The sequence below is a fragment of the Homo sapiens genome, chromosome 14, assembly GCF_000001405.40.
Source record: "Homo sapiens chromosome 14, GRCh38.p14 Primary Assembly".
Classification (NCBI taxonomy): domain Eukaryota; kingdom Metazoa; phylum Chordata; class Mammalia; order Primates; family Hominidae; genus Homo; species Homo sapiens.
In genome coordinates, this window is record NC_000014.9 from 68725460 (window position 1) to 68738584 (window position 13125).

Sequence of the window (13125 nt, forward strand, 5' to 3'; positions counted from 1 at the left end):
TTGCTTATTCATTCATAGACTACAGGGATTTTGTGCACAAGAATCAATATTATGAAAATAATTATTATGTAGATAGGCAATGCTAGATATCCAAGCATAAACAACTTAGTAATAAAGTGCTGAAATCCATGTGACTCTTGAACAGATAACACTTTCATGAAATCCGACTGGTAGATGTCTGCTGTGATATAATGGGAAGGGCCTGGGTTTCAAGTCTGACATATCTGACTTCCGGTTCCAGCAATGCTACCATATAGCACAGAACCGGGGAATCATGGGAAAGTTACTCAGAAAATAGCCTATAAAATTTATAAAGCATTTACATGCTTTTATTATTTTACAATGCAATATTTTCTTTTTGTAGTCAGTTTTAATTGTGAGGCCTTGTATTTTTTTAAATGAAAATTTAAGCACTCTTTCAAATTCTTTATCTTTAGAGAACTATATTATATAAAGTTTGGAAAACAGGAAAGAGAGAATAAAAGTCATAATTCCGCCCTCCTAACACAACCACCATCTTCATTGTGTATTCTCTTGCACTGAAAGCATCCAGAAGACCACACTGTGATCCTTCTTACCTGCTGTATTAGTCCACTTTCATGCAGCTGATAAAGACACACCCGAAACTCGGAACAAAAAGAAGCTTAATTGGACCTACACTTCCACATAGCTGGGGTGGCCTCAGAATCATGGTGGGAGATGAAAGGCACTTCTTATACGGCAGTGGCAAGAGAAAAATGAGGAAGATGCAAAGGTGGAAACCTCTGATAAAACCATCAGATCCCATGAGACTTATTCACTACCATGAGGACAGTATGGGGGAAACCGCTCCCATGATTCAAATTATCTCCCACTGGGTCCCTTCCCACAACATGTGAGAATTATATCAAGATGAGATTTGGGTGGGGACACAGAGCCAAACCATATTACCTGCCTTCCCTCCACCATCCTCTCAATTGTTTTACTGGATTTTTATCTGGCTAACAAAAACAAACAGGCAAAAAACAAAAACCACAACACATACACACACACACACACACACACACACACACATACACACACACACATACATCACATCACATGAAACAGAAAAAGGCAAGATTTAGACTCCATATAGCAAATGGATTTATGCTACGGCGTGGCTTTTATCCATTGTGAATGTGCTTCCTAAACACTTGGTTCTTGACTAATGTGAGCGTTATCAGGACAGGACCTGGAAAACCCTCAGTGAGTTTTCCCCCACCCATATTGAATCCCCTTGGGCCATCACATCTGGATTGGTGGTCTGTTGGATGCTATTCAGTCATGAGTTCCTAACAAGAGACCTGAAAAAAGGCAACCATAAAGAAGGGATGGAGGGATGAGTTGGCCAAGAAAAAATTGTCTGATGTGTCCAGCATATTTCTCTTTGGGAAGCCCAAGGCTGAGCATGGACCTCCATAGCATTAAGGAGAAAACAACCCAGCAGAAATACATCGTTTTCTGAAATATGTGGGAAGGGGACACTTAAGAGAAGTGAAGACAAAGCATGACACTGCTTCACAAAGAGAATAATAAAACTTGAAGCTCTTTGCCCCAAGAGGTACTTCATATGGACAGAAAATAAAAACAAATTCAAAGAGCTTTGGGTGTTGAGGGTTGGGGAGGTAGGAGTGCCAGATAAAATATAGGACATCTGGTTAACTTTTCATTTCAGATGAATAATAAGTAATTTCTTTTTTTTAGTTTAAGTATGTCCTATCTATTCTTTGTATACCATATCCTGTATTTTTTAAATGTGTGAGGTTTAAGGTATCTATTTTTAAAAATATCTTTATTGAGATACAACTCACAAATTTAAAAACGTACTCATTTAAAGTGTGATTGTGCCACTGCACTTCAGCCTGAGTTGATCTATTCCCTTCAAAAGCCTGTCCCCAGCATTCCTTTGTCATCTTCATTTTCCTTACAATGGAAACTCCATAGCTCTCTGGGTGTGGTAGCTCACACTTGTAGTCCCAGCTACTTGGGAGGCTGAAGTGGGAGGATCACTTGAGCTCAGGAATTTGAGGCCAGCCTGGGCAATATAGTGAGACCCCATCTCTAAAAAAAAAAAAAAATTCTTAGTTTCCCTTTTCTCCTCTCTCTGCCCTCTTCCCCTTCCCCCTACACTTTGACCTGCATGACTTACTGATGAATGATGAATGGAGAGGGATGGAAATTTTGTTTATCAGCTCTCCCAACACTGCATGCTCTTCCAGGGCAAATGACCGTGCTCACTTGTCTTTAAGTGCTTTTTACCTCCCTGTACATATTCTGGCAACTTCTGTCACTTTGGGGGTGAGGATTTCCCCATGGAAGTTCTGTGTGAGAAATCATGTTTAATGTGTGATTCTGTACAGATGGGTGTGTAGGAAATATGACCGGCATACGCACTGACGTTGACCCATACAAGTCTAGGCATCTGTTAAGTGTTTGGCCCTGTCCAGGAAGTAGCCGGGCCATAAAATCTGATATGGGGAGGAAGCTTGACCATGGGAGGGGCCCCTTCACAATAGATTCTGCAGGGACAGTGGGGGGAGACAGGAATGCTAGCTAGGCTGAGTGTCTGAGCAAATGTGGACAGCCAAAGGGAGCCTTGGCCAAAACTCTTCTCTCCTCTGTCTCCAGGAATTGGAAGTGTCCCACTGAGGTGTCACCGTGAGTCCATCCAAACCTTACTGAATTACTACCTCCATTTTAAGGTGTAAGGTGTTCAGAGAATGTTTGTGACTCAATAGTTCTTAACATTTTAGTTCTTCAATTTTAAGTGTGCCAGCTTATGAAATAAAACACATCTGTTAGCACATTGATTTTGGAAAATTTCCACTGATAGTTGTGAGGGCAGACACAGACGGTGAGATTATAAGATTCTTTTTATTCACAGGGACTTCTTAAAAATCTAGCTTGTTTTCCGTTCTCCTTGATGCCTTGTTCATGACAGGTGCTTGGCAAATATTAGTTGAATGGCTGAATAAATATATGTATGAGTGAAAGGCAGACATCAAAGTCTTCCTGGATGAGGTCAAGAGCAGCCTGGGTAGTGTAGCAAGACCCTGTCTATACCAAAAACTTTAAAAGGCATATCTGTGGTCCTAGCTAGCCTGTGGAGGCTGAGGCTGGAGATTGCTGAAGCCTGGGAGGTTGAGAGGCTACAGTGAGCTGTGATTGCGCCAACGGACGGCAGCCTGGGCAACAGAGTGAGACCCTATCTCAACAAACAAACAAACAAACAAACAAATCAAAAAAATGTTCCCAGATATTTGAGAATGGAATTTGAGATCAGGAAACAGGCCATCGTGTGAAAAGCCCCAGAGCAGTCATAGCTTTGCCACATAGAGTCTTGTGATTGGAACATGTCACTTAAACTCCATGACCTTCAGCTTCTGTGGCTGTAAATGGGAATCACCTCCTGCCATAAGTGGTTTTGAGAATCAAGTGAAATTTCAGATCTGAAAATGCTTTTCTGACTATAGGCTGCTGTATAGATCGAGGATAATCTGATAGCGTTCAAAACCCAGTGCTCACCACCTCCAACCTCGTGATCTTGCTCGAGTTAGTTAATCTACACAAGCCTCGGTTTTTTCATCTACAGAATGAGAATAATAATCACACCAACCTCACTGAATTGTCTTGAAACTTACATGAATTTATATGCACTCGAGAGCACAGAGGTGAGCTCACGTGACTTTCTCTTCCCTGGGTTGCCATCCTCTGCGTATTTTCTTTTTTTTTTTTTTGAGACAGAGTCTCAGTCTGTCGCCCATGCTGCAGTGCAGTGGCACAATCTCAGCTCACTGCAACCTCCGCCTCCCAGGTTCAAGTGATTCTCCTGCCTTCGCCTCCTGAGTAGCTGGGATTACAGGCGTGCACCACCACACCCGGCTAATTTTTCTTTTTTTTTTTTTTTTTGTATTTTTAGTAGAGACAGCGTTTCACTATGTTGGTCACGCTGATCTCGAACTCCTGACCTTGTGATCCGCCTGCCTTAGCCTCCCAAAGTGCTGGGATTACAGGCGTGAGCCACTGCACCCAGCCTCTCTGCATATTTTCTAAGTAGCTTGTTATTCTGCATTGCCCAGACTTGTTTCTCTGCCAACCCACCAGTCAGTAAGTAAATTAATTAGGTGATAAGTGATTCCTTGATCTTTTTATTATTACTATTTGGTTATGATGATTAAAGCAGATGGTCATCTGATTGGGCATAGGTCATGCATGCAAAGCAGCTGCAGTGGTATCTCAGGATTGTTTCCTTATCAGAGACCTGCCATCCAGGTGTTTCCTCATCTTAGGAGCCGCCCTCTAGGTTTCCTCAAATTGTGTCTTTCAGATGAGACCCACCCATCGGAGCCAGGCTTTGAAGGAACTGACCGCAGTGTGCATGAGGAAGTACTTCACGGTGATGACCCTCGCCACCCTCTCAGGAAAACACAGTGACCTCTCCCCCAACATCCCCTTCCCACTCCCAGGTCCCCCGGCAAAGGCAGAAGAACCAAGCAAGCCTTTCCACCAAAGCAGCCATGAACCCCATTCTCATCCTTTCCAAGAACTCTCTGCTATACCAGATAGGGGTTTGGGGTTCTGTTTTCCATTTTTTAAAAAAATCATTTCAAGACTCTTGAACAGTGTGTCGGTTTACACTATTCTATCTTCTTAAGCCACCATATCAACATATTCACTCTGCTTCCTTTCTTTTCATTTGGCAGATGCCACACTTTTAATGGCAGCAATAAAAGGTGTTTCTATCAATGCCAGGTGGGCAGCCCTGACCATCTAAAGCCTCGGAGAGGGTTATACCAAGTCTCCTGTACACCTCCGTGCTAGTGACAACATGTGGGGACCTCTCATCCCAAAGTTTTGGGACAAAGTCTCCCGTCCCTTATCATTTGTTTTCACTGAGGCTAAATGTATCTGTTCAGTACATGGATAGATTTTTAAGCTCCTCTCACAAAGTCTTGTGCTTGAGACAAAATCAGCCCAGGTTCTGCACTTTGTCTATATTTCAGCAGCTCTCCTGCTTGATATTAAAAATAGCCTTGTCTAGTCCATCGAGATCAGACCCAGGAGACAGGCGCCTGCTATTCTAATCTCTGCTTCACAAATAGCTCTCTATGGGCTCAAGCATCTATCAACACTTCCAGGGGTCTCCAGTTATAAAACAGGGCCAGGCCTAGTCACCTATAAAGGTAGGCTCTGCTTAACTCCCCTGAGCTGTCCATGAGGTTAGCATGAGGCCTACAACAATCACATTTCTACCATGGACCAGAGACTTCCAATGGTGACTCAAAACTGAGAAGCAGTTAAGAGCATCCCCCACACTCAGGGTATCCTGCATTTCCCAGGCCAGAACCTACAAAAGGTTCCCTTGAGACTCAAACTCAAGCAGCACTGGTAAACAGGCTGCCCCTCCCCGCTTCTTCCCTCCTCCTGCAAACCACCCCCCATCCCTCACTTTCACCTCCCTTCCTCCCCAAGCCCATCTTGTACTCTGTGAAAAACTGTAGTCCCCTCAGTTGCCAAGGGAACCAAGCCTTTTATTCCATCCGTGACTAGCTGGTTGGGCTGAGGAGTGGGGCAACAACTGGTACCCAGGCCTTTGGAAGCCCAAGCCCTCCCTTTTTCCCAAAGGGGGAGGGGTGGGCTGCACCCCCCGTTGCCTTTTCACCCAAACCCAGCTGGGTGGGACCGAGCCCTTGGGCTCTCAGGAGCTCCCTGGCTGTGGGCTGGGGAGATCAGTGCTCCCCAGGCCCTCCTCTGGCCCTGGCCCTTTCCAGAGGACAATAGCCTTCATGCAAGGGAAAATTCCATCGCCCAGGGTTCAAGTCTCCAAGGAGTTGCTGGGGCCTCTATTTAGCCTGGAGTGGGCTCTGAGGAGCCGCTGCAGCTGCCCGGCTTGTTTTCCCCCTCGCTGTGTTTTATTTTTAACCCCTGAGCTGCCAAGGATTGTTTTTCCCCAACCAGTGCCTGGGAACTAAGGGAGGGAAGAAATAAGGCTTTGTTCCCTTTGGGGAACTAATTGGGAAAGACAGGCAGTGTGGCCAGCTTGGCTCTATTAGGGTGTGGGGCTCCCACCCCTCACTGCACAACATCTTCACCCCAATCCATACCCAGGAGGCTGGGAGTGCAGAAGTGCCCCCCAGGATGCAACCAGAGGCCCGGGGGCTGGTGGGAACGCAAGTGCAGCTTCAAGACTGCAAAGGCAGCTCAGAGCCACTTTCTTGGGCTCCGAAGATATTCAGGAAATAAGATGTTGGGAGCTGGAAATGTCTATTTTTCCCATTTCAACCCCCCCCAAACTAACCCCTGCTTTTCTCCTGCTGGTGGTGGTGGTTGTTGTTTTCCAGACCTGCATAATGAACTCTAGAAGAAAAGTGAGGGAACTCAAAAAAGTAAGAAACCAGAAAATAAAGACATTATACTTTTAAACACTAGGCTAATCAATGGGAAACACCCAGCAACCCCACTTATAAGTTTACTCCGTAAAAAATATTCCTTATACTCAGAAATTTAATTTCATTGCAAATCAGCTAGGAATTAATGAAAAATTTCTTCCACGGCCATTTTATTTTAAGATCAAATGGATTCCAGATAGGGACCCATTAAGAATCTAAGGACCATTTTGATCCCGTCTAGGAACAGAGCAAATTTCTAAGGAATCACCCACTTGCAGCAAGCCAGCACATTCAAGTTAGGGCTGTGGCATATGACACCCAGTGCGTTCAAGTAAAGACTGCTCGTCTATTTACCAAGAATATTTGAGAAAAGAAAATGCCCCTGCCTGGTGGACAATAGCACAAAGCATTTCTCTGTACCTGGGCACATTTGTTCCACTCGATAAAAGAGGACCCCTGACCCAGGTACACAGGCAGTTGGAGAAGAGGACAACGATGAACTGATACAAAGGTAAGAGGTTCCCGGTAGCATTGGAAGAACACAGATTGGTGCATAATGCATGGCATGTGCAATAAAAGTAAGTTGCATTAAAACTTCAGCCTTGTTAATGACTACAAAAAAAATTGTTAGAAAGAATGAATAAGATCTTGGCCAGGCACAGTGGCTCACGCCTGTAATCCCAGCATTTTGGGGGGCCGAGGCAGGCGGATCACCTGAGGTCAGGAGTTTGAGACCAGCCTGGCCAACATGGTGAAACCCCATCTCTACTAAATATACAAAAAAATTAGCCAGGCATGATGGTGCACGCCTGTAATTCCAGCTACTTGGGAGGCTGAGGCAGGAGAATCTCCTGAACCCGGGAGGCGGAGGTTGCAGTGAGCCAAGATCAAACCACTGCACTCCAGCCTGGGAGACAAGAGCGAAAAGAATGAATAAGATCTGATATTTGATAGCACAACAAGGTGACTATAGTCAATAATGATTGAATTGTACATTTAAAAATAACGAAAAGAGTATAATTGGATTGTCTGTAACACAAAGGATAAAAGCTTTAAGTGATGGATACCCCATTTACCCTGATGCAATTACTACACATTGTATGCGTGTATCAAAATATCTCTCATGCCCCATAAATACACACACCTACTATGTCCCGACAAAAATTTAAAATTTTTTTTAATTTTTAAAAATTTGTTGAAAAACCATCAGCCCTGTTAAGTTGCTCACACGTGCTGTTGCAGCCCCAGCTCACCCGGTAGTAAATCCTGCTGACACAGGGTCCCCCACAGCTATGGGTCTATCCTTCCTCTGGTGTGGCAAGACTACATTTTCAGGAAGCTGCTGGGCAGAATGAAGCAACTCAAAGCTCAGGAGAAGTGTCTACGTGCCTTTTAGGGTTGGGGTTTAACCCAGCACTCAGGGATTTCCCAGCATGCAGACAAAGGCACTGACAGTTACAGCAGAAGCTGGAAGGGTGAGTCAAGCCAGGACTCAGCACGCTTGAACCCATCCACAGCTCCCACTCACATCATCCCACACTCCCTTTTCACATTTACTCCAAGCATCTGGAGCCCCAAGCTCCTGTGCCTCAACCCATGCCCTCAGTAACAGTATCCATTGCCAAGCCAGAATTGACTCCGGGCCCACCTTGCCACTCACTCAGAGTCTGTGAGGAGTGGGCACCGCACGCAGCCGTGAAACAGGCCAACTCACAGGTGGGCTCCCCACTGCACGTCTTGTCCGAAAAGACACCCCTCAGCCCCATCAGTGTTGACTTTGCATTGCGCCATTAGATTATTTCTTTCAGCTCTTCTTAAGACAAATGGCTGGCTGTTGGGAGGCTGGCCAGGGTTAAGGTGGAGCCTCAATGTGGCCATTTTCACAGCCCCGGCAAAGCCTGTGGTTGATGCCAAACCCCCATTGAACTGAATAGAATGGAGGAAAGCTAACCAACCCACCAGAATAATAATCACTAATGCTATGGAGTGATCACACAGCAAGACTGTTCTAAGTGTTTTATGTGTATTCATTTATTTTTACCTCATCATAAGTACTATTATTTTTCTATTTTATAGATGAGAAAACTGAAACAAGGTCACAAACCAGATGATCTAAAGGGTAGCCACTACTGCCTCCTAAAGAACCCCAATCAGGAATCCCAGATTAATTTGCCCAGCATCCTGTTTGGAAACCACATGTCCACCCTGCAACTGTACCTGGCTTGTGTCCCACAAGGAGGAAGATGCAGGGGACTCCGGAAGCTAAGGAGGTAGACATGGGGTTTACTTGGGTTAATGTGGCCGGGGAGTCAGGAGACCTTGATTCCCATTCTGGCTCTGCCCCTATCCGCATGAGGATGGCCAACTGTTCCAACCATGGGTTCCACTCTCCTCATTGCTCAGCCACCAGGTTTCCAGGTCCCTCAGGCCCCTGCACATCCTCAGATATCTGAAGAACAGTGATCGGTGTGACGACAGGGCCCCTTCACAGAACGAACTTGACAAAGAACCACTCACCGCACACACGAGCCTTAGAATGCACGTGTCAGTGTTTTGGGAAATATGTGCTGTTTTGAAATGTGTCTGGGCCATGAGCAAGTTTGGGGGGAGACAGGATAGGAGCTTTTCTTCCAGTTAATGAAGTGAGGCTTCATGGAGGAAGAAGATTTTCTTAGTCACATTTCCTGTTTCACACTGACCTTTTAAAAGGAAACCCACAAGTGAACCTGTGCTAGGGCCTGCTTGCAAAATCTACCCACAGGTATAATAAAGATGATCTAAATAAAGCCCACAGTAGGCCAAGCTTAACCTGAATCAGTGGAAATAATAAGATCACTAAGAAGGGCTGATGGCCTGAGATAAGAGACATGGTGGTGCTCCGTATACTGTAAATAGAAGTGACACGTGAGAGATTTAATGATTATTAAACAGGAATCTAAGCAGAGAGGCAGAGATAAACCATGCAATCTTTTCATCAGTCTCTAGGTACTCAGGGCTTAGCCACTCATTATAAAATGGAGACTCTAAAAAATTAGGAGAGATGGATGCAGTGATTTCAAAAGAAGTTGTGTTGATTGGGTTATAAAATTAATTATGGGAATTAAGATTACTTATCTGCAGAGGAAAAGACCAAGAGATAACTGAAGAACTTAAAGTTGGTAAGGGGCCGGGCTCGGTGGCTCATGCCTATAATCCCAACACCTCAGGAGCCTGAGACGAGAGGACTGCTTGAGCCCAGTTGTTCAAGGCTAGCCTGGGCAACACAGTGACACCCCGCATTTACAAAAATATTTTTTTTGTCCTCAGATTTGGTAGTGTGTGTTTCTAGTCCCAGCTACTAGGGTGGCTAAGACAGGAGGACCGCTTGAGCCTGGGAGGTTGAGGCTGCAATGTGCTGTGATCACACCACTGCACTCCAGTCTGGGTGACGGAGCAAAAGTCCATCTCAGAAAAAAACCAAAAAGTTGGTAAGGAATCAATTATTGGATGACACATTGCCATATCTACTGAGCACAGAATGACAGGCCCAAACAACAGCAGACAGATATGGGATGCTCAAGGATGTCCCAGAGATGGCCAGGTATGGTGGCTCACGCCTGTAATCCCAGCACTTTGGGAGGCCAAGGCAGGCAGATCACTTGAGGTCAGGAGTTCGAGATCAGCCTGGCCAACATGGTGAAATCCTGTCTCTACTAAAAATACAAAAACTAGCTGGGTATGGTGGCGCATGCCTGTAGTCCTAGCTACTCTGGAGGCTGAAGCAGGAGAATCACTTGAACCCGGGAGGCAGAGGTTCCAGTGAGCTGAGATCACACCACTGCACTCCATCCTGGGCAACTGAGCGAGACTCCAACTCAAAAAAAAAAAGAAAAAAAAAAGAATGTCCCAGAGATACCTGCAGAACGGTTGCTAAGGCCACCCAAGTCCAGGGGAGCTTCACCATCAGGCAGCACCCATCGCCATGGCTGTTTACATTAACTCAGGGAAGACGCCACAGAAATGTTAAGTTTTGAAAGCTTTGTTTTGTTTTGTTTTATTACTTTTTCATTTTAAAAAATATGGAATGCTTCACAAATTTGCGTGTCATCCTTGCTCAGGGGCCATGCTAATCTTCTCTGTACTGTTCCAATTTTAGTACATGCACTGCCAAAGCGAGCACTGTTTTGTTTTGTTTTAAACAAGGAGGCCTGGAATTGGGCTGAAGTTAAAAAAAAAATCATACAAAGGAAACGGTAATTATGTTAACAAAAATAGAGTGGGGAATAGGGTTAGGCCATGACAGGCAATGATCCTAAGAGCTAGAGATCTCTCCCACCCCAACAGAGAGAGACAGAGAGACAGACAGAGAGAGAGAGAGGGAGACAGAGACAGAGAGAGAGACACACACAGAGAGAGAGAGACACACACGCACACACACAGAGAGAGAGAGACACACACACACACACACACAGAGAGACACAGAGAGAGAGAGAGACAGAGACAGAGACAGAGAGAGAGAACCCTAAGGTATTAATATTCCTGACTTGAATACCTCAGGCTTTTCCCAGCCAACTTCCACGTTGCTCTCCTATCCGTCTCCACACCTAATTCTTCTACCAAACCCTTCTGTCCACCCCAGGAGATTGTGAACTCAGGCACCAAATCCAACAAGCTCCCCGAGGAACTTACAACAGTCTGTTTTACAGAGAAGTAAATGTTGCTGAGAGAGAAAATTGTCAGGCCTCGGTGTTCCAGAGCAAGAGGCATTCCTTCATTCCCAGAGAGGCCCTGGGCCTCAGCAAGCAAGCCCGACAAGCCCTCCGCAGCCAGAATCCAAGCTTCAGGCTGCACCTCCCTCACCGCTGGGCCCTGGACAGTGAGGCTGCTGCTCAGAACCCCTCTCCTCAGAGGGAAATTCCTCAGGGCTGCCCCACCCGACCCGTTCTATCAGTCACTCAAGCCCTCTATCCTCTGTCACAGCCTGGCTCTGTCCCTTCCCATGCCCCAACCCCCAACCTCCCAGGACCCAGTATCTCAGGATTTCTGCCCTCCTCCAGCCCCGAGCAGCCTGGAAGCCAAGTGGCAAGGATGTAGTCAGCCGGGTGGGCCCTGAGAGCCGGTGGAATGGTGTCCATGTTGCAGGAAACAAGGGAAGGTGAGGGGTACAGGGGTGCCTGTGCCAGGCCACCACTCCACAGCTCATTCTTCTCTGAGGTTATTCCCCGACCCATACCCCTCTGGAGCCCACCCCAGCTGCTTCCTCTTCCTAGGGGTCTCCACCTGATGTTCTGTGACTCCCCTGAAAATAAACTTTTGAAAGGCAGACTGTGTGGTTATTGTGAACATGGGTGTAAGGTCAAGAGGCAACCCCATAGCCAGATTTCATCCTCCTCCAGGCCTCCATCCAGGGCTGCAGAAATAGCTAGCAATTGGCTGGCTAAGCAGGCAGTGGCTTATATGGAAAGAGGGGCCCCTCTGCAGCTGTCACCTGTGCTTGTGAATTTGTTTTTCCAGCGTCAGGAAGGAAAGGTGATTTGGGAGACACCAAGCAAAGAGCAGGAGGACCTTTTCTGTCCCCTGAAATTTAGGAGGGAGATTACCAGACAGAGGCTGAGCCTTCCAGCTCCACTGGGGCCTGATGCCCTCTCTCACCTCTGACTGCCACCCTGGGAGGCTCTTTAAGCCTCTGTGCACGGCTCCCCTGCCCAGAGGGGAGGGCGCATGCGTGTCATGAACACCCAGGTGCTGGAGTCCACAGGACAGGTAGAAGAGAAACGACTGTGGCCACTCAGCAACCGCTTATGCCAGATACCCTTTTAATAAAATCACCTTCATCCAATCCTCACAGTCATCTCCTGAAATAGGTACTATTCCCATTTTGTAGACAAGGAAACTGAGACTCCAAGAGGTGAAAGTGCTTATGCAGATCATACTTATTAGGGACGGAGGCAGGACACAGTCCCACAAACACAGGGGGCAGCTGCCAAGGGGCCTCTTTTTCCATATAAGCCACCGCCTTCTTACCCAGCCAATCTCTAGCTATTTCTGCAGCCCCAGGATTGAGGTCTGAAGAAGGATTGAGTCTACTATGGTGTCACTTTCTGGCAAACTCTGAGAGGGACTGAGAAGGCCAAGTGGGGGCCTGCACCAGGCACCCCCAGCACCCAGGGCGCCCCTCCTCCCACTGAGCCACTCAGAGGCCGGGTCCTGGCAGGGTCCTCTCGCTTCACAGACCCTGCACTCCAGGCCAGACCCTGCATAAAAAGAGGTGTCCACAGTGCTCATATCCCACCAGGCTCAGACGTGGTAGCCCCAGGAAGTCACATCCATCTGGGATCTTCCCACCCCAGCCTTTTCAGGAATTTATTGTTATGGGGACATACAACAATATTAACCATGAGCACTGCTAGGGTCACTGTTCACAAGCAGGCAGGAGGACCCCCAGTGCAAGGTCTTTCTGTGGGGCCACCTGGCATGCTGCATGCCCAGCACTGTAGGTGGACTGGATGGTGGGGAAGGCCCCGTTGGAACCTCAACAGAATGAACTTCTGGGAAACTCAGCCACTCTGGTCCTGGTGTTCTTGGGTTGTATGTTTCAAAGCTGTCTTGACTTAACTAGTTCTGTCTCATTTTAGGATCTTCCAAAAGAATTCATGAACCAAGGTGCTAAAGAGCCAGATCCATTCGGCTCCTGAGCTCTGGAGGGATAGGATGCAGGGTAAATGGACCGAGGGTC

The 13125-nt window shown here is 46.6% G+C and overlaps 1 long non-coding RNA gene and 1 pseudogene across 1 annotated transcript, besides 3 other annotated features; one reads left to right on the top strand and one right to left on the bottom strand.

Moving 5' to 3' along the window:
- Nucleotides 1-2563: 2563 nt before the first annotated feature.
- On the top strand, nt 2564-11712 carry LOC105370547 (uncharacterized). The gene is made up of 4 exons (XR_007064227.1): nt 2564-2679; nt 4349-6921; nt 8487-8680; nt 11029-11712. It is a non-coding gene; the product is annotated as an uncharacterized LOC105370547 (long non-coding RNA).
- Nucleotides 5277-5830: an enhancer, noted in NCBI's record as "H3K4me1 hESC enhancer chr14:69197453-69198006 (GRCh37/hg19 assembly coordinates)". NCBI's record gives its function as "activates a minimal SCP1, AML or CMV promoter by ChIP-STARR-seq in naive H9 embryonic stem cells {active_cell/tissue: H9 hESC(naive)}" and the evidence as "EXISTENCE:reporter gene assay evidence [ECO:0000049][PMID:30033119]".
- On the bottom strand, nt 10463-10569 carry RNU6-921P (RNA, U6 small nuclear 921, pseudogene; annotated as a pseudogene).
- Nucleotides 10836-11362: an enhancer, noted in NCBI's record as "H3K4me1 hESC enhancer chr14:69203012-69203538 (GRCh37/hg19 assembly coordinates)". NCBI's record gives its function as "activates a minimal SCP1, AML or CMV promoter by ChIP-STARR-seq in primed H9 embryonic stem cells {active_cell/tissue: H9 hESC(primed)}" and the evidence as "EXISTENCE:reporter gene assay evidence [ECO:0000049][PMID:30033119]".
- Nucleotides 11363-11887: an enhancer, noted in NCBI's record as "H3K4me1 hESC enhancer chr14:69203539-69204063 (GRCh37/hg19 assembly coordinates)". NCBI's record gives its function as "activates a minimal SCP1, AML or CMV promoter by ChIP-STARR-seq in primed H9 embryonic stem cells {active_cell/tissue: H9 hESC(primed)}" and the evidence as "EXISTENCE:reporter gene assay evidence [ECO:0000049][PMID:30033119]".